At 38.4% G+C, this 26,625-nt stretch overlaps 1 long non-coding RNA gene across 3 annotated transcripts in view; it reads right to left on the bottom strand.

Annotated features, from left to right (window-relative positions):
* The window catches only part of LOC105375760 (uncharacterized), a 257,327-nt gene that overhangs the window by 223,280 nt on the left and 7,422 nt on the right, over positions 1-26,625 (bottom strand). For 2 of the 3 annotated variants that reach the window (XR_007061183.1, XR_007061182.1), the window contains exon 2: positions 19,787-19,916. The exons of the other annotated variant lie outside the window; for it this stretch is intronic. This is a non-coding gene — a long non-coding RNA (uncharacterized LOC105375760). The remainder of the gene's footprint in view (positions 1-19,786; positions 19,917-26,625) is intronic. 3 annotated transcript variants of the gene reach the window in all.

Genomic DNA, 26,625 nt, shown 5'->3' with positions numbered 1-26,625 from the left:
AGCCATTTTCACAGTCAAATTCCTCACCAGGAGACATAGTAAAAGACCCATGGAACTTTAGGCCATGGCTGCCCTCTGATCACTTCAGACTTCCTTTGCCAAGACAGAAGAAAGCAAGGAAAGACTCACTATCCTGACAGGGGTAACTGATGGCCCATTCAGAGGATTTAAGTAGGTGACCCTCATTACCTGTTTCAGACCTCCACTGTTTCACAACTGGCATAGAAAAGAAAGAGTTTGATATTCAAGTGGCCCACAGACTGTTACTTGGTGATCTTTGCCTAATCTTGATGGTAATTAGTCAAGAACTGAAGCCACAGCCTGAGAAGAGCATAGTGACCAATGGCTCAGATTCCTCAGAGATGAGAGTCTGTGCCACTGATTAAGACCAGCATAGGTAGTAGCTAATGGTGAAGGGAAACTAGATTGATAAGGAAAACAATGTGATTCAGTTACAGCTCCAAGACCAGCTACAAAAGCAAGGGTTATACATTATCCTGCTAACCTTTTCTTATAAGTTTCCCCAAGAAAGACACAATCCAGGATCCTGGAGAAGTTGGTCTCCAATGGGCTAAACTTAACGTAAGCAACAAGCACATTTGAACAGAGCAAGAAGTGGGTTATGGTGGATGCTGTGATGTGCCACCCGTATCCCCTTCAGGACTGAGGCATTCACCTTCCCAGCTGCCAAGAGTGTGCCTGATGGAGGATCACCACTTTGCTCCTCTCTGGGAATTGCCTCCAGCCACAGGAATGAGCTACCCCAAAGGTTACATCCCCACTCCAGGGCAGCCCTCATCTAATGACTCATCTATGCAAAGGTACAAAACCCAGGCTCCTTGCCTCAGTTGGGACAACCCTGAAGAGCATCCTAGCTTCAGAGCCCCACATGTTTTTGGCTGAGTTATCCATGTTAACTGCATTCCAATTTAACTTTTCTATCTGCCCAATCCTGCTTTTCCTCACTTCCTCATGGAATACTCCCAATAAACCTCCTGAATACATATCAGATGTGTTTCTAGGAAACCTGGACAGATTTTACATCTATATAGTGTTTGTTCATTTCTTCGAACAATTATAATAATGACTGATTTACATTCCATTATCCTTTATCTTCCATCCCTCCTTTTCAATTTTATATCCAATCAATGAATTCACTGTGATCTATAGAGTCATTCATACTGTCTCGCCATCACAAACATACATTCTCTTCACTAAGTGTTTGACTCTGCTTTTTTTTCTCAAAATATTTTATGTAAGAATGAATATATTTTCTTGTTTTCCTATTTGACACCACTGTTTAACTCTTAAACAATTTAAATATTTCCCTCTGGGGAGACTGGAATTTATTTTGCATGATTACACAACATAAGATAGTCATTGCATTCTCTGTCTCTCTGGATGAAGGCTCTGTCTTAGGTAAGCAGTCTGCTACTTGCAACCTCTGCAACCTTAGACAACTCCTGATGTCTTTTCTTGGGTCAAGACTGTGGCTGATCTGTAGTCAGATGCATTATCCATTGTGCCACTAACCCTAGAAGAAAACCTAGGCAATACCATTCAGGACATAGGCATGAGCAAGGACTTCATGTCTAAAACACCAAAAGCAATGGCAACAAAAGCCAAAATTGAAAAATGGGATCTAATTAAACTAAAGAGCTTCTGCACAACAAAAGAAACCACCATCAGAGTGAACAGGCAACCTACAAAATGGGAGAAAATTTTTGCAACCTATTCATCTGACAAAGGGCTAATAGCCAGAATCTACAATGAACTCAAACAAATTTACAAGAAAAAAAAAAACAACCCCATCAAAAAGTGGGCAAAGGATATGAACAGACACTTCTCAAAAGAAGACATTTATGCAGCCAAAAAACACATGGAAAAAATGCTTATCTCACTGGCCATCAGAGAAATGCAAATCAAAACCACAATGAGATACCATCTCACACCAGTTAGAATGGCAATCATTAAAAAGTCAGGAAACAACAGGTGATGGAGAGGATGTGGAGAAATAGGAACACTTTTACACTGTTGGTGGGACTGTAAACTACTTCAACCATTGTAGAAGTCAGTGTGGTGATTCCTCAGGGATCTAGAGCTAGAAATACCATTTGACCCAGCCATCCCATTACTGGGTATACACCCAAAGGATTGTAAATCATGCTGCTATAAAGACACATGCACATGTATGTTTATTGCGGCACTATTCACAATAGCAAAGACTTGTAACCAACCCAAATGTCCAACAAAGATAGACTGGATTAAGAAAATGTGGCATATATACACCATGGAATACTATGCAGCCATAAAAATGATGAGTTCATGTCCTTTGTAGGGACATGAATGAAGCTGGAAACCATCATTCTCAACAAACTATCACAAGGACAAAAAACCAAACACCGCATGTTCTCACTCATAGGTGGGAATTGAACAATGAGAATGCATGGACACAGGAAGGCGAGCATCACACACCGGGGACTGTTGTGGGGTGGTGGGAGTGGGGAGGGTTAGCATTGGGAGATATACCTAATGCTAAATGACGAGTTGATGGGTGCAGCACACCAACATGTCATGTGTATACATAGGTAACAAACCTGCATGTTGTGCACGTGTACCCTAAAACTTAAAGTATAATAATAATAAAAAAGTAACAAAAAAAAAGAAAGTAATGAGTGAAAACATGAAGTTTGGTTATAAAATAAATAACGTAAAAAAATGTCATGAACATATTTAAAGTAGTCAGAAATATGAACAGCATTATTTTCTCATTTATATAGCAATTACCACAGGGCTTGTCCCAGATAGTAAAATATAGTTATGTTATTTTTCAAGATCTGTCCTTTAATCAGCCAAGGAATTTAATAGTTGATGTATGAGACAACTTTTTTGTATGTCCAAAAGATGACAGTTTTTCCCTTTAAGAATTCTACTCAATTTGTGTTTAACTCCATTTGACATGAGGTGATAGAAGAGTCTGAGTCCACCTGTCGAATATGTTGGTTTATTTTCAGTGCTTGAAGATACATTCACAAATACTTGGTCTGGGAAGACGCCATTTAATGTTAAGTCAATTTGCATGTTATAAATGTGTTTTATATTTAAATAAAGAGGAAAATTTTTTTTAAAATCTAAAACAAAAAAAAGACTGTGGCTGAGCAGCTTTATACTTTCCATTCTCCTTGTCATTATTCTGATTATCTTCAGGCCTGGGTCCTTGATACCCACAGAATGGGGCTGCCAGATTTAGCAAATAAAAGTACAGGAGACCTGGTTAAATTTAAATTTGAGATAAGCAAAAATGAAATTTTAATATAAGGGTGTACCAATTATTGCACGGACATCCATGCAATGATGGAAACATAGTTAAACTAAAAGTTATTTATTGCTTATATGAAACAAATTTAAGTGAATGTCCTGTATTTTATCTGGAAACCTTAACATAAACTATATTAGAAAATTTTTTAAAACTCTAGAACACTCACCATAGTCTTCAAAGTACTCGATTTGGAGACAGATTTGAGTTTGAATCCAAGCTCTTAGTTGTGTGACTGCAAGGTAGTTACTTGAATTTGCCAATTCTTGGTTTGTTAATCTGTAAAATAGGCATAATTGGACCTATCCCACTTTCCAGGTCCTGATAGGGATTGGAAATGGTGACAAGGATGTATGTTATAATATGAATATGTAAGCAGAGGCTCTAAGTTGACAGGATAAATACTGTACCTGGAAGCTATATCTTTGGTACAATGCTATGCACATTTTTAAGGATTTGCTTTATATTCATAAACTACTCTTCAGTAGGCTTGAGCCAATTTACGACTGGTAGATGGGAATGTCTGTTTTCTCTCCTAAACCAATGCCAAGTTATATTCAGTAATTTCAATAATTAGAATGTCTGTGATATTATCAAGTGTAGTTGATAAAAACTAATATTCATAGTCTAACCTTGCAGTGCAGTGTCATCTCACATGAATAATGGTTCTATTATCAGGAATGGATAATGCAGACTCCTTTACATGATGGATTGGTCAGGTTAAGCATAGTTTTCCCTTAGCAAATAAAAAATAACACATTATTACTTTATGTCTGACATACCAGCTAATGTCAAGGTTTAAATTGCCCCAGCCTCTGCCCACCCATTAAGAGATGATTTGCTCATTGGAATCTTATTGAAATGGATTTAGAGGAAGCTAATATATTGGAAAGAAAGCCTTCTAAAAGCCAGGACTGCCATTAGCGATCTTGAAGTCTTTACGAAAGTTACTAAACTTCTCTAGGACTATATTAATTAAAAGAGATAATCTCTCAACCCTTCCAGGCTGTGACAGTCTCTGAATCTATAGTTTGAGGTTTAATTACTGTTATATGAATATTAAACTCTAATTCATGTCTTACATAAAGATGTCATTCATTGAGCCCAGTGTTCTGTGTGAATCAGGTACTAAGGAATGCATTTAAGGAAGTTTTATTTACTTATTCTTTTATATATATTGATTCTCCTCAAATAATTTTCAATAAATGACTATGAGAACATTAATTAGGCCAAATTAATTAGGACAAAAACCAAGAGCCAAGAGTAGTGCAAGTAGAAAAAACTTTGGCTAATGATAACCATTATAGTAGAATGCCCAACTTAGTATGAGCTTCCTGGTTGGCAAGGCAAAAAGGACAATGCAATCAACCTCAGTAGACATGTACGTCTCAAAATCTGACCAATGGAGGAAAAATATCTGTTCTTCAGGAAAAAGTGTGTTTTCAATTTTGTTCTCTTCCACTAAATTCTATGTGGGCATTTACAAAAATCACTGTTGCATCATTGAAATGGCATATATCCTTATACGTGAGGATGTAAGGATACATGTCAAATATAAGGATATATGTCTATTTCCTTATATTAGGTCAAATACTTGAAGGTTCATGAACTCCCTCAGACATCCTTGATTTCACTTGACTATCCAAAATATAAATGTGGTACAAGGCATCATCAGAAGTCTTTGATACCTTTTTATAGCCTCAGTTCATGCCACCTGTTAGAGTAACTGTATACCTGTAACCATCTAAAATAATAGCCGTTAGTCATCTCTGCCTATTGGATATTTGCTGTACGGCTGGTTCAAATTGACATATGTCCTAGTGCAAAATATACACTGGATTTCAATACATACTGTTTTCAAGAAAAAAAGTAAAATATCTCATTATTAATTTTTATGTTAGAGAACATTGGTACTATTTGGATAAATTGAGTAAAAATGTTACTAAAATTCATTTCACCTGTTTCTTTTTACTTTTTATAACGTAGTCACCAGAAATTTAAGATTGCATATGTGGCTTGCATTTGTAGCTCATGTTATATTTCTACTGGGCAGCATCCACGTATAACAATAATAGTAATAAAATAATAGATTTTTGAGAAGCAAACAGGTGCAGACAGTTAGTGGTGCTGTAGATGTATTATTTCATTTTCCATACAGTAACACTTCATGTCAAACCGAGTCAGAGAGGCTTAGGTACTTGGTTCAACATTGCAAAACTAGTATGTGTCAGTTGCATAAACCAATTTCCAAAAAACTTTTCTCATCTTTTAAAGTTCTGAGTCTTCAGGTCCTCTTGAGAAGTTGTTCATTTTGTCACCATAATCACGTTAATCAATATTGTTCAGAGATCAGAGAACTGAATTAAAATAGGGCAGATTTAGGTTTCAGTCCCGTCTCTGCTATCAGCTTAGTTCTCCCCACCGGACCTCACTTTACCTTCTTCAACCAGATTATCTAATTAGCTAATGTATATTAATGTTATTATGCTTTAGGCACTTATCTAAGCACTTTACATACTAACTTATGCAAACATCATTACAATTTATAAGGCAGTTACTACTATAGGTGTATTTTTCAATGAAGAAACCAGGGCATTAAGAGGTTTATCAACCTTCTGAAGATCTTACCACCAGGAAATGGAGGAAGCAGAATTTGGACCAGTTTGTTTAGCTCCAGAATCCATGTGCATAAGTTCTAGTGGCACCAAGGGTGGAACCAGGAGGCAGTCTGTTCTGGGTGTGGGCAATAAGGAAGTGCATTGTCTTAAAGAACTTGAAAACAATAATACACCTTGCTAAACATCAGTCTGTTTATTGTCACCAAGCACTGGCAATTCTAAGTGATTTCAGGGAGAAAAATACATGTTTCTCCAAATTATTTGTTGGTCAAACAATTGCTGCTATTAATGTTGACTTTTATTGATGCGTGTATAAGTTTCAAATAGGCACATGCTTATTGCCCACTAATAAAAGATAAAGTTAATTCAGAGGACTCTCAATTCTAGAGTAGGCCCTAACACAGGCAGGACCAGCTGCACACATTGGTTTAGAGAGTAAGTTTGTAACAATTAGGAATCATTTAGACTCCATTCAGGTACAGGTGTAGTTTGTATCTCCAACCTCTGTGGTAGTACATGTTTTTATATTTAACCAACAGTTGAAAAATAAACAATGAGAGTAGAGTGATGGCAAAGATAAAGAAAAAGTGTCTGAGTTGCTTCCATTCTATCCTTCTATGTGGCAATGGGGAATGTTTATTTCTGTTTAAAATGTCAAACAATCTGATTTTAGTTATTTCTTGCCTTCTGCTAGCTTTTGAATGTGTTTGCTCTTGCTTTCTAGTTATTTTAATTGTGAGGTTAGGGTGTCAATTTTTGATCTTTCCTGCTTTCTCTTGTGGGCATTTAGTGCTATAAATTTCCCTCTACACACTGCTTTGAATGCGTCCCAGAGATTCTGGTATGTTGTGTCTTTGTTCTCATTGGTTTCAAAGAACATCTTTATTTCTGCCTTCATTTCGTTATGTACCCAGTAGTCATTCAGGAGCAGGTTGTTCAGTTTCCATGTAGTTGAGCGGTTTTGAGTGAGATTCTTAATCCTGAGTTCTAGTTTGATTGCACTGTGGTCTGAGAGATAGTTTGTTATAATTTCTGTTCTTTTACATTTGCTGAGGAGAGCTTTACTTCCAAGTATGTGGTCAATTTTGGAATAGGTGTGGTGTGGTGCCGAAAAAAATGTGTATTCTGTTGATTTGGGGTGGAGAGTTCTGTAGATGTCTATTAGGTCCGCTTGGTGCAGAGCTGAGTTCAATTCCTGGGTATCCTTGTTGACTTTCTGTCTCGTTGATCTGTCTAATGTTGACAGTGGGGTGTTAAAGTCTCCCATTATTAATGTGTGGGAGTCTAAGTCTCTTTGTAGGTCACTCAGGACTTGCTTTATGAATCTGGGTGCTCCTGTATTGGGTGCATATATATTTAGGATAGTTAGCTCTTCCTGTTGAATTGATCCCTTTACCATTATGTAATGGCCTTCTTTGTCTCTTTTGATCTTTGTTGGTTTTAAGTCTGTTTTATCAGAGACTAGGATTGCAACCCCTGCCTTTTTTTGTTCTCCATTTGCTTGGTAGATCTTCCTCCATCCTTTTATTTTGAGCCTATGTGTGTCTCTGCACATGAGATGGGTTTCCTGAATACAGCACACTGATGGGTCTTGACCCTTTATCCAATTTGCCAGTCTGTGTCTTTTAATTGGAGCATTTAGTCCAGAGCAGAACTGAAGGAAATAGAGACATAAAAAACCCTTCAAAAAATTAATGAATCCAGGAGCTGGTTTTTTGAAAGGATCAACAAAATAGACTGCTAGCAAGACTAATAAAGAAAAAAAGAGAGAAGAATCAAATAGCTGCAATAAAAAATGATAAAGGGGATATCACCACCAATCCCACAGAAATACAAACTACTATCAGAGAATACTACAAACACCTCTATGCAAATAAACTAGAAAATCTAGAAGAAATGGATAAATTCCTCGACACATGCACTCTCCCAAGACTAAACGAGGAAGAAGTTGAATGTCTGAATAGACCAATAACAGGATCTGAAATTGTGGCAATAATCAATAGTTTACCAACCAAAAAGAGTCCAGGACCAGATGAATTCACAGCCGAACTCTACCAGAGCTACAAGGAGGAACTGGTACCATTCCTTCTGAAACTATTCCTTTCAATAGAAAAAGAGGGAATCCTCCCTAACTCATTTTATGAGGCCAGCATCATTCTGATACCAAAGCCAGGCAGAGACACAACCAAAAAAGAGAATTTTAGACCAATATCCTTGATGAACATTGATGCAAAAATCCTCAATAAAATACTGGCAAAACGAATCCAGCAGCACATCAAAAAGCTTATCCACCATGATCAAGTGGGTTTCATCCCTGGGATGCAAGGCTGGTTCAATATATGCAAATCAATAAATGTAATCCAGCATATAAACAGAGCCAAAGACAAAAACCACATGATTATCTCAATAGATGCAGAAAAGGCCTTTGACAAAATTCAACAACTCTTCATGCTAAAAACTCTCAATAAATTAGGTATTGATGGGACGTATTTCAAAATAATAAGAGCTATCTATGACAAACCCACAGTCAATATCATACTGAATGGGCAAAAACTGGAAGCATTCCCTTTGAAAACTGGCACAAGACAGGGATGCCCTCTCTCACCACTCCTCTTCAACATAGTGTTGGAAGTTCTGGCCAGGGCAATTAGGCAGGAGAAGGAAATAAAGGGTATTCAATTAGGAAAAGAGGAAGTCAAATTGTCCCTGTTTGCAGATGACATGATTGTATATCTAGAAAACCCCATCGTCTCAGCCCAAAATCTCCTTAAGCTGATAAGCAACTTCAGCAAAGTCTCAGGATACAAAATCAATGTACAAATTCACAAGCATTCTTCTACACCAACAACAGACAAACAGAGAGCCAAATCATGAGTGAACTTCCATTCACAATTGCTTGAAAGAGAATAAAATACCTAGGAATCCAACTTACAAGGCATGTGAAGGACCTCTTCAAGGAGAACTACAAACCACTGCTCAATGAAATAAAAGAGGATACAAACAAATGGAAGAACATTCCATGCTCATGCGTAGGAAGAATCAGTATCGTGAAAATGGCCATACTGCCCAAGGTAATTTACAGATTCAATGCCATCCCCATCAAGCTACCAATGCCTTTCTTCACAGAATTGGAAAAAACTACTTTAAAGTTCATATGGAACCAAAAAAGAGCCCGCATTGCCAAGTCAATCCTAAGCCAAAAGAACAAAGCTGGAGGCATCACACTACCTGACTTCAAACTATACTACAAGGCTACAGTAACCAAAACAGCATGGTACTGGTACCAAAACAGAGATATAGATCAATGGAACAGAACAGAGCCCTCAGAAATAACGCCACATATCTACAACTCTCTGATCTTTGACAAACCTGACAAAAACAAGCAATGGGGAAAGGATTCCCTATTTAATAAATGGTGCTGGGAAAACTGGCTAGCCATATGTAGAAAGCTGAAACTGGATCCCTTCCTTACACCTTATACAAAAATCAATTCAAGATGGATTAAAGACTTAAACGTTAGACCTAAAACCATATAAACCCTAGAAGAACACCTAGGCATTACCACTCAGGACATAGGCATGGGCAAGGACTTCATGTCTAAAATACCAAAAGCAATGGCAACAAAAGCCAAAATTGACAAATGGGATCTAATTAAACTAAAGAGCTTCTGCACAGCAAAAGAAACTACCATCAGAGTGAACAGGCAACCTACAAAATGGGAGAAAATTTTCGCAACCTACTCATCTGACAAAGGGCTAATTTCCAGAATCTACAATGAACTCCAACAAATTTACAAGAAAAAAACAAACAATCCCATCAAAAAGTGGGCGAAGGACATGAACAGACACTTCTCAAAAGAAGACATTTATGCAGCCAAAAAATACATGAAAAAATGCTCATCATCACTGGCCATCAGAGAAATGCAAATCAAAACCACAATGAGATACCATCTCACACCAGTTAGAATGGCAATCATTAAAAAGTCAGGAAACAACAGGTGATGGAGAGGATGTGTAGAAATAGGAACACTTCTACACTGTTGGTGGGACTGTAAACTAGTTCAACCATTGTGGAAGTCAGTGTGGCGATTCCTCAGGGATCTAGAACTAGAAATACCATTTGACCCAGCAATCCCATTACTGGGTATATACTCAAAGGACTATAAATCATGCTGCTATAAAGACATGCACACGTATGTTTATTGTGGCATTATTCACAATAGCAAAGACTTGGAACCAACCCAAATGTCCAACAATGATAGACTGGATTAAGAAAATGTGGCACATATACATCATGGAATACTATGCAGCCATAAAAAATGATGAGTTCATGTCCTTTGTAGGGACATGGATGAAATTGGAAATCATCATTCTCAGTAAACTATCGCAAGAACAAAAAACCAAACACTGCATATTCTCACTCATAGGTGGGAACTGAACAGTGAGATCACATGGACACAGGAAGGGGAACATCACACTCTGGGGACTGTTGTGGGGTGGGGGGAGGGGGGAGGGATAGCGTTGGGAGATATACCTAATGCTAGATGACGAGTTAGTGGGTGCAGCGCACCAGCATGGCACATGTATACATATGTAACTAACCTGCACATTGTGCACATGTACCCTAAAACTTAAAGTATAATAATAATAAAATAAAATAAAATAAAATAAAATAAAATAATTTAAAAAATAAATAAATAAATAAAATAAAATGTCAAACAATCACGCAGTGTGAAATCCAAAATGAAATATTTTCATTTGCGAAGTAAGAATTTTAGTTTATTCATAAAATATATTCATTCCATTACACAATTATTATTGAAAATGCTTGTGCCCTGCAGAAGAAGGAGGTATCAAAAACAGACCTAATTTGGGTATCAACTATGCTGTATCTACCACTTAACTCTCAGAGTTTCTGGAAACAGCAGCCTCTCTGCATGTCCTGCCTGATCTAAAATGCCATGTTTTATGATTATATCAACTCTCAATCTTCCTGTTTCAGAATGCAGGCAGTTCAGAGTGCCTGAAATCCTTCTAAAAAATTGAAGCAGGGAATAAATAAACAAAGCTTATTTACACCGGGCCCCCTCCGTCATTTTCTTCATTTTATTCTGGACCTTCTTGACAGTGTTTCTCAGAAATGTAATTCCCAGACCACAATATAAAGGTGATGTTTCTTTGTGGCTTTGAGCCCAAAGTCCTCCCCAACTTCATTTCCAAGGAAACTCTTGCAGTTACCCTGGATGTGCCATGATCTTCCTCTCTTTCATACATACATGTCTGTTCCTCCCTCTACCTGGAGAGTCTCCCTACGCTCCTTCTCTCTGACCCACCTTAGGCTTTGGAAAAAGCCCACCTCCTCCTTTAGGATTCATCTTACATGTGAACATCCCATGGGAAAACCCTCCTGAAAAAGTTACTGGTTACTTATTTATTGAACACATACAATAATCCTCACATTGCTGGTTTACAGGTCCACTTCCTCTTACCTCACCTTAAAAGTGACCTGCTGAAGTTTAGGAATAACTTTCTCTGTATTTTGCTAACTAAGAGGCCTGGAACAAAATCTGTCTCCTAGTATTGCTTCAATAAATCTTTAGCTAATAAATTCATGAATGAGGTCCAATGTTTTCTGAATGCTTAGGTTGATGTCCCTAGGGAAGAATATGATAATATTTAAAACAATAAGGAAAATTATCTAAGCCTGAGTTTCCTGGAAAATAGACTGAGGCAAATCTTAATGTCTGAATACAATGCCTGGCCACAAGAGAAAGGAACCAAAGGGAAGACAGAGAAGGAAGAAGGAAAAACACAAGCTTGGCAAGACTAAACTGTTCCAAGTTTCAGACAAAAATATATTGGTCATGGGACATGTCCCTGGAAAACTGGAATGGAACTAGTGTGTTTCACTGCCTCAGAGGGAAGAATGAGCAATTTCTCCGCCAGCTCTTTGGCGTCTCTGTGTCTCACTGGTCCAAGTTCACCCCATAGGATGTGAACTCCTCCATAGTCCTTGGCTATGTTGCCTGAACCCTACAGACAGCCTCTTGGGAAGCTGGAGCCTTGTGGGTCTGCTGGGGTCAGACAAGGTCTGCTGCTGCCACAGTTCTCAGCACTGGGGGCTCCATGGAGGCCACTGCTGAAGCCTGACTCTTGTCCCCAGAAGAGGCAGTGGCAGGACACAGATGATGGGGGCCTTAGCCAGGTTTGCTGCTGCAGAAATGGCAGGAACCAAATTTGGGAAAAGAGCAAGTGACCAATGCTAAGCAGCTCATCAGAAGTGCATCAGCTAGGTTCACTACGTAATGATTAATAACAAATAGCACCTGATGTGTACTAAGCACTTACACTGGATCAGACTCCATATTGGGTCCTGGGATCACAGTGGTGAGCAAAAAAATGACATAGTCCTTTTTCATAGAGTGTAAATGGTTTGATGAAGAAAGCAGACATTAATCAAACAATCACCAAGTAAATGAAAAATCATAAATTTGAAAAGCACAACCAAGAAAAAAGTTCTTCATAAGTTTATGTCAAAGTTTATGTCGTCTTTTCAAATCCTGTGACAGGAGCTATTCGCCAAATAAGGGTGTCAGGGAAAGATTCACTAAGTGTATAAGAATGAAGTAGAAATATTAAGGATAAAAAGGGGTTATGGAGGTCAAGAGAATGGAGGAGGAAAATACAGACGTACGAGCAGCGGTGGGCAGAGGCCCATTGGTTATGTGGAGAACGTGCTTAGAAGATGTGATGAAAGAAGTTGCTGGCTGGGTGTGGTGGCTCACGCTTGTAATCCCAGCACTTTGGGAGGCCGAGATGGGCAGATCACCTGAGTTCAGGAGTTCGAGACCAGCCTGGCCAACATGGCAAAACCCTGTGTCTACTAAAAATACAAAAATTAGCCAGACGCGGTGGCGAATGCCTGTAGTCCCAGCTACTTGAAAGGCTGAGGCTGGAGAATTGCTTGAACCCATGAAACAGAGCTTGCAGTGAGCCAAGATCACAGCACTGCACTGTAGCCTGGGTGACAGAGCAAGACTCCATCAAAAAAAAAAACAAAAAGAAAAGAAAGAAAGATGTTGAAGATGTTGCTCAGGGCCAGGTGAAGATGGAGAGCTAGACAGAGGATGGCTCAAAGGAGGCCATGGAGTCCATACAGGCAAATTTATGGAATTGCTTCCATAAAAGCAACAGGAAGCTACCAGAAGAATGCAAGGAGACCAATGAAGAAGCTAGCTTAGCTTGTACTGAAGAAGAGATGATGGAGTTGAAAATAAATGCAGACAGATTTGAGGCTGACTATGGCAAAATGTCTCACAATAGTAATGGGACAAAACTGGAGAATGGTTATAGCAGGCTATTATAATAACCTTAATTTTACTCCAGCCTTATATGGCTTAAAAACTGTGAGTTATGCATACGCTGGTATTATTTTTCTCCTGAGTGCATTACTTTATAGTTTCCTGGATCATGTACCTTTTTCTACTCTCTCCTGAGACAATGAAGCACTTTTTCCTATCAGCCAGGTATTCCACAAAGCAAAACATCCTCTACCCATAGAAGGATTATCTTCTCATTCCCTCTGTTGTAATGTTTAATAACATTTTACAATGAGTACTTGTATGGATTTCTGAGATTATTCATTTTCTTAAAATAATTATGATAACAATGGAAATCATATTTATTATAACCAACATCTTAATTTTCTGGTTTGGATGGAGTGTCCTCTATTCTTGAGAAGCTTTGCACAGATCTGCAAAGCACAAGAGCAGAAAGCAAAAGAGAGTGACCAGTTACATTTTGCATGAATGCAGGCAAGACTCAACCTCACTGCTTACTCATCCTCATCTTCACAAAGACAGAAAACAATCACCAGATTATTGTATAAGTGAGAGTTTTCAGTTAAAACAAACTATAAATCACTTATAACAAGAATTATTAAAATTACAATAGGGAATTGTAAAAGTATTATTTAGTATAGTGCAAAACAGTATACTAAAAGATTTTTATGACAATATAAAATATCATACTATTATTCCATATTATACCAGTAATTCAAGAAATCTTTATAAAACATAATGATGATAAGAACAGACAAAATACAAAGTAATGCAGAGGATATTAAATATTAAACTTCTATAAAACATCCAAATAAAATGCCATCAAAATTGTAATAGGTAACTTGAACTTACTTCTATGATAACTTCTATTTTATACTGGATTTTATGCTTGAATTGGCCACATACAATTTCTAATTGATATTTTTAGATGAAGCCCTTTTCAAAGTTTTTAATGGTTACCACAACTGAAAACTGCCTTTGTTCAGGTAGGTGATAATAAAATGTAAATCTATTTTTAAAACCCTTCAATATTTGCAATAGCTGAAATTAAATTTACAGAATCCAGAAGATCTTTTTCTCCTTTAGTTGATGAAAGTAATAAGTACATTTCTTGCCATAATGTAAATAGATTTCAAATGCAATCAACCATTTTTATAAAAAATATTTCAAAACAATGAAGAAATTCTCATCTGAAAACATGTGAGTTGCTAAAGTGATTATCCTCTACAGCTAGTTTGGACAGAAAGAAGATAAAAGAACTATCACTAGAAGAGCATAGCAACCACAGATAGAACAGAAGGATCCAGTATTGTGAAGACTGAGCCTCTGGGCTGGCCCCTGAAGTTGTGGCTTCTAGTCCTTGAAGAAGCTGCCTTCCAGATTTTCCACCACTCCCACAACCTAGGCTACAGGCCATGCTCCCAGGGCATCTGGAACATAAACTTCCTACACTCTGCAGACATGTGGTCCACAAAGGGCAGAATAGTGCTTCATGACTGAGGCTCCCCTAGCTAAGTTTCACAATTCACAGTCTAATAAGAATAGCCAGATATTGCTTATTCTGGTCGTTGCGTGCAGTGGCCTCACTTGACCTCAGCCATCAGTCCCCACTCTTCACCTAAAAACTCCTATGAGTCGGTGAAGTCAACAGACAATGGGATTCATCAATATCATCTTCTCAGGATAAAAACACAAAGGCATCCTCGCCACCCACTTCCAACCACTGTCTGGAAAATGCTGGCTTAGAGGAACATTCTTCAGCCTCAGTGAAGAGAAAGGCAAGAGTCTATGTTCATAAGATACTTGCAAATTTAGTATTAGCACAGCAGGTGTGCTGGCATTCTGAAGGGATTGTAATCAGATTCAAATCAATATGCCCTGGTGTTTCAAGTGGTCTTGTCCGTGATGCAGTGGAATACAGCTCTGTCTCCTGAACCCTTGTCCAAGTAGTGTGGAAATTTTACTTATCAAGGACAAATCTGAGCTTTTAAATTTAAAGGTGAACATGAGTCAACAGAACATTAGATATGCAGGTTGAAATAATTAAGGTACAACTGCATCCAAGTAACACCTCAGAAGCAGATTAGTAGACATAAAGCTCATTCATATTCCACAGCTCTTGTCAGATGATAAAGAGTTCAACATAATTCAACTGGTGGCTTTTGTTTGGTAGAGCAATTATCAAGTGGAAATCATGATTCATTACAAATGTCATCAGTCTCTTAAAAACGATTATATATTTCTTTGCCTGGAAGACATCTCCTCCAATTTCTTTCTTGTTTAAATTCTTAATTTTCTGCCTAGGAAAACCTCTAAAACAGAAAAAACTAAATTTCTCAATCTTACACATGGCTTTAGGCATGTCACTTAAGATCTGTGATCCAGTTTTTCATTTATAAACCAAACAAATGAGCTGAAATTATATATGAGGCTGCATAACTTTAAAATTCTAGAATGTTATGTTTGATTTATTTCCACAAGTCACTCAATTGATTTGGAATATTTTTCTCAGAAACTGTACATTTTCCCCAATATAAAATGTTATTTGGATTATCATTGAAACTCAAGAAAATTAAATAATGGCATAAAATGGTACAAGCTTTAGGTAACATGAGCAGAGAGAGAGATGGCATTATTTATCTTTGCATCCTCAGGGTTGTTTGGTGTGTATTCAGTGCTCAGTAGATATCTGATAGATTCAAAGAAGGATCTTTGCTGAACACATAACCTTCCATGATTGTTTTGGTGGATTTATTTTCCTTGCTTGTTTTGCTTTTGTTTTTGAAAGGGAACTTCTTAGCTTGAACTTTTCAATACTAAAGCTGTGTGACATATAGGAATTGAAAAGGCCCCAATACAGATAAAATCATCCGCAGATATCTTTCTTGGTTCATACCAGCTTCACCCTAACCTTTGGCATCATGTATAAGGCTGTTTTCTTAGGCTATGCCCTTGACCCACTTATCAGACCATTCATTCCTTTCAAGTACCTACTCTGGGTGCAAAGTCTATGGAGGTCAATAAAAACAAACAACCGTCTAGCTTTCATGGAGCTTATATTCTAAAGGAGAAAGACAGGGGGAAAACATCTAAATATGTGACAAAGAAAACTTTCAGAAGGCAATAAGCTTTATGAAGAAAAATATATAACTGGAAACAAGGATAACGGGGAGAATTGGGGTGAGGAGGCACTTCAGCTAGGGTGCTTCCAGAGAGGTCATTTTAGGGAGATCACATGACAAAATAAAGGCAGTCTGTGGAAGATCTTGGAACCCCGTGAAAAGTCACAGGCAAGGGCAAGCACTAAAGTCCTAATAGGAGACCTTGAAGAGTGGCAGGAGGAATATAGGTCATCATGGCCATAGTGTCCCAAGAAAGAGAAAAAAAGAGATGAGAAATTGAAAAGTTAGAGGACGATATTCCAGTCTCTACTGACTGCTTAGTACTTGTGTGGAGTCAACACATTTCATTTGCCCTCTTTGAACCTCCGTGTATTCCTGTATATTAGGGAATAATACTTGCTTCACAGGATGGCTGTGAGGATTCCACACAACAAAAGTCTTTCAGTGCCATCCCATGATATGCCAAATGAAATTCAAAGTCCCTAACACAGCCACCCAGGAGGCATGGCTACCTCTCTAACGTCACTTCAGCTGCTTGACACAAATACAATACATCTTTGCAGTCCCTCAAATGAGTCAAGATTTTCCTCTTTACTTTATATGTTTCCCCCCATCTTTCTCCTTTAGAATATAAGCTCCATGAAAGTGAGACTATTGTTTGTTTTATTTACCACCATAGGCTTTACATACAGCATGGGTACTTGAAAGGCATGTATGGTTCAGTAAATGCATCAAGGGCATAGCCTAAGAAATGAGAGGAAAATCTCGACTCGCTCGAGGGAGTGCAAAGACATGTTGTATCCTTGTTGAGCAGCTGTAGTGAAGTGCAGTGAGTCTGTGCCTCTCACTGGTGTTCCCTTTAATTGAAATACCCTCTACCTTCTTCTTGCCTTATCTCACTTTCACTTGAGTATCAACTAGCTCAAGCAATACTTCTCGATGGGAACTTCCCTGATATTTCCAGTGTGGTGACTATGCCCTTTGCCTGTAGTCCAACGACACACTAAGCACCAGGGACAGCATGCTCAGTGTATAGCCACTATGGTTTGTCTCACCCTGTCTATTATACACCCCTTGAGAACAGACACAATGCCATATTTTCACGCCAGACTCCAACATAACCTGGAACAAGCAGGGGTCCAAGAATGTTTATTGAGCAACCCTCATGTCAACTGGAGTCCCTCGATGCTGAAGATGTGGACATAACTGACACCCACTGTGAGGTTCAAATTTCCAGAGTTAGTCAAGGTAAGATGGGCCATTTCATAATAACAAATCTCAATGGCTTGATACAAATAAGAATTATTTCTTACTCATGTAACCTGTTTAACCAAGGTTTGAGGGGGAATCTGCTCTTTGTTGTTCTCAGGGACTGAAGAAGACAGAGGCTCCTTTTTGATGCCTGATTCCTCAGACAGTGCCACAGTGGCAAGGGAAGATGGACCGCTGCACACAGGCTCACACAGCTTCTCCAGGAGGTGACACATGATGCTTCTGTTCATATTTCATTGCCCTTCAAAGAAACAGGGCCACGCCAAATTTCAGAGAAGGGAGAAGCTAAATCTTACCATGTTTCCAGAACAAAATAATGTTTGTGAACAGATATAATAAATAGCACATCTCCCTCACTCTCAATTAATTCCCAGAGGCTTATACACCTGTAGTCCCTCTGACCCTCAGCCATAGGATCCACATGTATCATCTCTATTATATGTAACAGATTTAGATGCAAAAATTAAACTCCAACTTTAACAAATTTCTTTAAGTTTACCCATATTGAATATTTTGTGTGTTTGGGGAAATCTAATGAAGACCAAGGACCAAGGGCTCACTTGCCTAGAAACCATTTTAGTCCCCAATTATTTTAGTCTTTACTCTGACCTCCAAAATTCCTCGAGCCACAAATTTATACAGAACTCCTTCAATTCTCTAACCCTTAAACTTAAACATTCAAATGGGCAAAGTACCCAGTAGAACAAGAGCCCCCCAATGTTCAGGAGTCTCCTTCTTCAGAAAGTACTTTAGTGGTAGTCATAGTTCTAATTGGTTTCTTTGTTATGTTTGAATAGTGAAATGAGTGGTGAATAAATGAATGAATAAAGAACAAAAAGAATACTGAAGAACTCTGTGCACTTTAAAACACTTAACCAACCGCAGTTTTTATCTGGATATTTGGCTTAAATGCTTTCTAAGGTGATAGTAAGCTGTGGTGTATACAGGACTCATTCAGTCTTTTAGTGACTAATTGGTGACAGTGAACAAACGCTTTGGACGCTAATGAATGAAGTGCCAGAGCTTGTGTGGTGTTCTAGTTTTAATTTGCAGCTTGCCCCAACTTTGTCAGTCTTTTTCTCTTGTTTAAAGATCTGGCTAAACAATTCTCGAAGGCTCATTTTCTGATTTCCCATAAAGTGCTCAGTTGCCCAGTTAGCTAGAATTTTCATGAGAACAAATACATTCCAAGAGCTAACTGTGATGGAGAAGAAAAGTCTGCACATGTGTGCATACATACACACACACAAACAAGTGAGCAGGAATACACACAATATGCAACAATTCATTCCAAAATGTCACCTGAGCTTAAAGTCCTATAGTCATCAGTGCCATCTACCAGGTGTTCAGGATAGAGATGATTTGGCTGGTGCTCTGCTCTCTTGGCAGTTATATTATATTAGAGTTAGCATTAAGGGCCATTTCTGTGTAGCAGCTTCTTCACCTTTATCTAAAGTAAAATCTAGGACCCACCAGTAGATAGTTAGTGATATTGGACAAGTCACTTAATATTTCTGAATTTCATTTTCTGTACCTCTGATAATTAATAGCAACAGGGCCATAATAATAATAGTAGCAACACCTTATACACATTAGACATCTAGATGCATGCATAATTCTACTTAATTCTCTGTCCCTCTCTCTCTCTCTTTCTCTTCTCTTCTCTTCTCTTCTCTTCTCTTCTCTTCTCTTCTCTTCTCTTCTCTTCTCTCTCTTATACACACATGCACACACAGATACCATATTTACTAGTACTAGTATCCTTCTCCAGCCAGACCGGAATATTCTTGCAAAGATTCAGCTTGACATTGTTACACAAATCCATCTTGCCCCCCTAAACTCCCCCATTCTAGTATAGGTAGGAGTTTGCTTTACCTTTGAAGAAACAAGTCTGTATAAAGTATTTTTTCTGAATAACATACAGAGAAAGGAACAGATGGAGGGATAGAATGGGGAGAAGAAAGAAAAAAGGGAGAGAGGGAGGGAAGGAAGGAAGGAGGGAAAGAGGAAAGAAGGAAGGAAGGAAAAAGTTAGCCTTTCCCCAAAAAAATAATGCCTAAAAAGAAACTGTTAGCAGCTTCATAGTAGCACTCTGATCCACTAGAGAATGAATGCTTACCTGTGCCAAGGACTTCACAGTGTCTCATTTGTATCTTAGATACATTTTGTGATATATACTATTATTCCTGGTTTGTAGATGAAGACATTGAAGCGGAGGGAAGTTAAGTGACATGGCCAAGGTCACAGAGCTGTCAAGGGGAAAAGTCAGGATTCAAAGCCAGATCTCACTCCTCGACTGTGTTCACCCCACTCACATCAATTTACCCGTCCTGCAATGAGTAGACCTGGGTTCCAGTGTTAACTTTGCCTCTAGCTGGTGTCATGATTGTGGGAAACTCTTTTATCTTCTCTGTTACCTCACCTATCAAATTAAAGGGTATGAGTCTCCACATTTCTTCCTTCCATAAATTAAGGCTTAGTTATAACCACAACATACTGTATTTCTTAGAATACGACATCACTATTTTATACATTACTAAAAAATTGAAAATTCTACTAAACTATGAAGCAATGTTTTATCACTTTGAATTTTAACTTTCTACATATTTTAAAAGCTTTTTAGGTATAACCAAATAAAGATTTTATCATATATTACACTTGGATACATGTAAAAAGGAAAATGTAAGAGAAATTGGGAGATACAGTCCTGAAACTTTTGAAGTGATCCTCTTTAGAATAACTTCTCAACATCGGTATCCATATTTTCCAGAAAATATCATCTTCTATCTGTACCATCAAGGGTGCTGCATCCTTTCATTTCTTAAATGGCATTTGCAATTCTCTCCTGGAATCTCTCCCAAGCAGTTCACCACCATTCTTCAAGTTTTCATCTGGGCACTTCCTGTATTTTACCAGATCACATCAACAGAATATTTTTTTAGACAACCTCATGGAGATATAATGTCAAATGGTAAATTTGTGGTCCTTTGTCAATTTGAGGGCCTGGAGAAAAGGGGCTTCCTATGTTGGAACCCCCATTCAGGGCCATCACTTCACTCCAAGTCATCTTACCATGGAAACTCTTAGATAAGTTTAGTTGGGAACTTAGGCTCTGGGCACATGGAGAACTCATGACCAAATCCTGCCTTGGATCCATCAGCCTCACCAAGCCAAAGAACTCTGCTCTGTCTTAGATGACCTCCTTCTGGGTTCTATGCCATGAACTCTATTTATTGGCAACCTTCCTGGGATTTGTAAGAAGTACACTCAAACCTAATTAATCAATCTGATGAATAGTATGCACAGTCATTAAAGAATCACCACAGCTTTAATGAAGACAAAAGAGCACCAGATGTCCCTTGGATCAGACCTTGGGCTATTCTGTCTCATCCCTCCCTATTCTTTCTTTCCTGGCCTGACTCCTCCCAGCCTTCAATTCGTTTTCATCAGACCTTCTGGTGTCTCTTGTGTCCTTTCTCCTGGGATTTGGAGGCAGGCACACCAACTTTAAAGCTTCTGCTGTTACTGGATCCCATTCTTGAATCATCCAAATAAATCACTGCGTGAGCTTCACGAGGCTTGCTTTCCTCAACTGTATTGTGGGAAGAATGATATCTACCCTGCAGGATTGCTGTGCAGATTAAATACAATAAAGAATTTGAAAGCGCAGGGTTCACACTGAGTAACTGCACGGTACCATCCTTCCTTCTCACTCTTTTGCCTTTCTCAGTCGTTTCTTCCGTTCTTCCTTCCTCTTCCCCTTTTATATCTTGGTCTTTTCAAAACCTGCTCCAACTTTTATCCCCCCATCCCCTTCCTCTCTCCTTCTCTTTCCCTCTTCCTTTCTTTATTTCTTTCCTCTCTCCTTTTCTCTCCTCTTCCAGGCTACCTCTTTTCCTCCACCTCTTCTTTTACCAACTAAAGTTAACACGAACACAGTAGATCTGAGAGTTCTCTGGATGTCTAGCAAGACTGGCAAGTTTTTAAAAGACTAAAGCACAAGAATAGTAATTGAAGGGGCAAAGAGATAATGGTGTTTGTGTTTGTTGCTATCTTTCTTTTAATATATTTGCTAGTGAGGAATATACAATAAAATGGGAGACTGAGCAGGCCAGGAGAAAAGAAAGGGACCAGCCTCTCCTATTTGATATCTCCTATTTTATATGTTGTATTAATTGTCAACACAGGAAAATAGATATGGCTCACTTTGAAAAGTTTCAAATATTTGAGCACTTTAAATCTGTTTGCAGTCACATACATAATTTGACTGAGCTATAAGGAAAATTAAAGGGTGTTTTTGGTTTTTATGTTTCTGGATTTTTTGCAACACAGTTTAACTGTTACCTGAACATTGGTTCTTCTCTTTGCCTGAACTATAGTCCCAAATAGATTTCTCTTATCACCATTGTCAACCTGGAAGGGTAAAACAGTCACATCAATCCTGTTTCTCATTTCTGCAGCTTCCCTTGCAGTTTTACATGGTCATGTGTTCCAGTTCCAATGACATCTAAGTAGAGTCTGCCAAGGAGGTGGCTTGGGGAAAAGCTTTTACTTCCTAATGAAAACAGGATAGATGTTCAAGGCTGGAAGGCAGAGTGCTGCCCTCATCCCTTCCTTCCTGACTTGAATGCAGATGTGATGACTTGTCCTACAGTAGCCATCTTAAGACCACGAGACCCATAAAAATTACCACCCAAGTACCTTCGAGACTCTGACTCTGCTTGCAACCACCTACCTAGAGAAAACTAAACAACCATCTAGTTAAGCTAGTTATTCAGATATACTGCAACTTGTAGCCAAAAATGTTACTAGTCAATAGTCTCCTGGTCTTTGGAGAAAAGTTAGAGTCCAACCGTCTCAGATCTAAGTGGGGAAGTTACACCAGATACATCCAAATGCATTCAAAGTATCTTCCTACGGTTCTTATAAGGATAAAATCAGATAATGCAGGTGAAGTACTAGCACTACACCTGATAAATAGTAGGTGCCTAAATTCCTGGTCTCATTTTCCTTAGGAGGGATCACTCAATGAAGAAGCATCTCAATTAGAGCCCAGTGAAACATTCCCAATGATGTAGGCTCTCATTTCCTTATTTTGTTTGCTCTGGTCTAGCTCATAAGTATAAATTTTCTCCTAATCTGGCTAACTCTGCTTCTATGGTTAGCCAACATCAGAGTCATTATTCAGTTAGTTAGTTATCAAGACTGGGTCATTTTTTACTCATTCATTAAAAACTGTTTACTGAGCTTCTGCTGTTACCAAGCACTGGGGAAAGAATGACAAATAAGAGAGAATGGTGCTTGTCTTGGAAGAGCTTACACTCTAATCAGAGAAGACAAAAAAAAAAAAAAAGCTAACAACTAAGTAAGATAATTGCAGATTGTAAGATGTGCTATACAGGAAATAAACAAGTTTGTTTGGAAAATTCTGGGAGCAAGGAACTTAAATGCAATGGTCAAGGATCACTTCTCTGAGGTGACTTCTGAGTGACACCACAAAATGGCAGCTAAGCAATGATCCAGAAAAGCACTCTAGACAAAGAGAACACCAAGCAACAGTGAAGGGCAGCTTGTCCTTTCCACCTTTGCTTCTTAGCTAATACTTGCACTTTAGTGCCTATTTATCATTCAAAGTCTGGTGAAAATCTCTTCTCCTGCTATATCCACAGCATGCATCCATGTGCACGTAAACTAATTAATGAACATTCATTTGACCATTAAGTAATTAATTAATTGTAAGTGTAAAATATTACTAACTCCAACAGGAAGCAAGTTAACAATTTTAAACAAAGAAGTGATATTATCACTTTTACATGCTGGCTCCTGCCCCAAGTCACTCATTACTCTATTAAAATAAAAATGATCATTGAAACCACACAACACTTCTTCTTTATAATGAATTATATAATTATCTCTATGTATAATGAATTAAAAACAAAGAAATGCTTTTCTGTCATTCTTACTAGTGTGTAACTGAAGCTCATTACTTTGGTCTTGTTTTGCTGTTTTGTTTGTTTGTTTGAGACAGATTCTTACCCTGTCACCTAGGCTGGAGTACAGTGGCGTGATTATGGCTCACTGCAGCCTTCTCAACCTCCTTGGGTTAAGCAATCCTTCTACCTCAGCCTCCTGAGTAACTGGTATTACAGGTGCATGCCACTACACCTGGCTAATTTTTTTATTTTTTGTAGCAATGGGATTTTGTCATGTTGCTCAGACTCCTGAGTTCAAGCAATCCTCCTGCTTTGGCCTCCCAAAATGCTGGGATTACAGGCATGAGCCACCATTACAAGCCTTTTTTTTTTTGCTTTTTCTTTCAAAAAAACTTAAAACCTACTGGACAGTCAGATAGTATATTAGCTACCTATTGCTGCATAACAAATAGCCCCAAAACTTAGGGGCTTAAAACAATAAACATTAATTATCTCACCGTGTATATGGGTCAGAAATTTAAGAGTAGGTTAATTGGGTGATTTTGGCTCAGCATGTCTCATGATGTTTCAGTCAAGCTCTTAGCTAGAACTGCAGTCAACTGAAGGCTTGACTGTGACTGGAAAATTTACTTTCAAGATAATTGACCAATGGCTGCTGGAAGGAAGTATCAGTTATTTGCTGGCTATCGGTATGGGGCCTCAGTTTCTTGCTACATGTGGCAACCTAAATATCCAACATGGTGGCTGGCTTCCCCAAAAGTGGGCACTCCAAGAAGAGTAAATCATATGCCACAATGTCCTTATGACTTAGCACTGGGAGTAATGTGCCACCATTTATGTTGCACTATGTCAGCAACACAGACTAATTTGAACACATCATTGAAGGCAAATATATATGGGCATGAATACCAAGAGGTATGGGATCATTGGGAATCATCTTGCAGTTTGGCTACTAAGACAAACAAAGGGGAGGTGACTTGTTAGGGCTGAGATAGAGATGTACAGTTTGCTAAGAAAAGAGCTAGTAGGTAATATAAAAATAAACCTGTTGCCTGTCCAAGAATCAGCCATGACATGCTTCTTTTTATCAGATCTCTTGATCCCTAGGAAGGCTGCCTCAGGACCCGGCTTAAGGGTAAGCATAGGTTACAGTTCTGGCCAATGAGATATATGTGGAAGTCTTCTACGAGTTTCTGGAAAGACATTTTTCACTTCTGATAAGAAGGAGGTATTCAGGGGGAACTCCTGGCTGTATTACTACCCTTGTGAGAGTGAATGAATGTTTAGAGAAGTTGCAACCATCTTGTGACCATGAGGAAAGGTCAAAGTTACTCTTGAGTTGCCAGCACAAAGCCCCCGATATAACTGGAATCCTGATCCACCAGCAAATCCCTACATCCATGCTTCTTGCTGTGTAAGAAAAACAAACTCCTATTTGTTTAAGCCACTCTTATAGTTTTCTCATTAACGGTAGCCGAAAGCATTTCTAACTTATACAGACATCTAACAGACATAGGAGGCTAAGGGAAGTTTCTTAGAGAAGGTGACATCCATGCTAAGAGCAAAAAGATGCATACAAAGACTCCAGGCAAAGGAAACAGTAAGAGAACAGGACACCTTTGGGGAACTAAATGAAGTTAAGTGTGGTTGAAGCACTAAGAGCAAGAGGGGTAGAAGTGAAAGATGGGGCTGGAGAGAGAAAAAATAGCCAGTCCTGGAGATGTTTGCCTTCTATTTTAAGGCATTTGAGGGTAAAGCAGAGTTATCACAAAATTCAAAGCAAGAGAGTGACATGATCAGCTAGGTGGAGGGAGAGGGGAGGGTTGTTCTTTGATAGGTATAAAATTTCAATCATGCAGGGCTGAGAGGGGATTCTGGGGACCTGTTGTACAACAATGTGGATGTTGTGGACAATATTGAACTGCACACTTGGAAATTGGTGGGAGGGTCAGTCTTACGTCTTATGTGTATTTTTTCCACTATTAAGAAAAAGAGTAGCATGATAATATTTTTAATTTAGACTGATCACAGCAGCTGAAGAAAGGAGGCAAACTACAGCTAAGAGATTCAGTGTCTACTGAAATCATCTAGGTGAGGGAGGATGGTGGTCAAAATACGAAAACAGGAGTGCAGCAGTGGAGTGAAACAGAAGAAAGTTGAGAACTATTTTGTTGGTATTCAGTAAGTCTTGTTTATTGAGAATGTGGAATGAGGTGAGTGCATACATACTGAATGTTTCCCACGTGTGATGCATTGTACCAAGTGCTTTGCATGAATTACCTTTGATCTACATAAAATTTGGCAAAATTTTACTTTTCCACCATATTGTGAAAGTTCAAAACGGTTACATAACTTGTTCAAGGTCACAGAGATAAAACATCGTAAGTCCAAAGATTTTGATAAAGTATTTTTCTGAAATTTTGTCTAATTTTCTTCAGTTCTTCACTTCAGGGGGAAAGGATTTGTTTTATACCAAAAAATGCCTTTGTATACCATAACAAAACAATATTTATCACTATGGTTGTGTTTTACTGTTTTACTTATTTATTTTTTAAATACCAGTTTGACCAACTACATTGATTTCACAACCCCACAAGTCAGTTGGAACCCACAGTGTGGAAAAAAACTGATCTAGGAGGATTTCATACATTTCATACATTTAGTATATGTGGATGCCACTTTCAAGTATTAATTCATGAGATTTACTGTGTATGCCCCTTTTTCCATTCCCTCATTCAATTTTTCTGTCAATCGCTTCAAGAAAGGAGTAGCAGAGACAAACTATTCTTTCCATCTTTCCAGTTTTTATTTTTCCAAAAATGTATCCCAAAAGAAAACTTAAAGGTTTTAGAGGTACAAGAAGTTACAAGGAACAAGGAAAAACAGAAGAAGGCAGGAAAAGTCAGATATGCTCAAAAAACAAGGATTCTCACTAGACTAGAAAGCAGTTCTCTGCAACTGGTGGGGTTGGGTGAAGAGTCTGTGCATCCTAAATAATGGCTTTTTGGTATATCCTGGAGAAGGC

The sequence above is a fragment of the Homo sapiens genome, chromosome 8, assembly GCF_000001405.40.
Source record: "Homo sapiens chromosome 8, GRCh38.p14 Primary Assembly".
Taxonomy (NCBI): domain Eukaryota; kingdom Metazoa; phylum Chordata; class Mammalia; order Primates; family Hominidae; genus Homo; species Homo sapiens.
The sequence above is the reverse complement of the archived record's forward strand: the minus strand, read 5'-3'. Positions and strand labels throughout refer to the sequence as shown.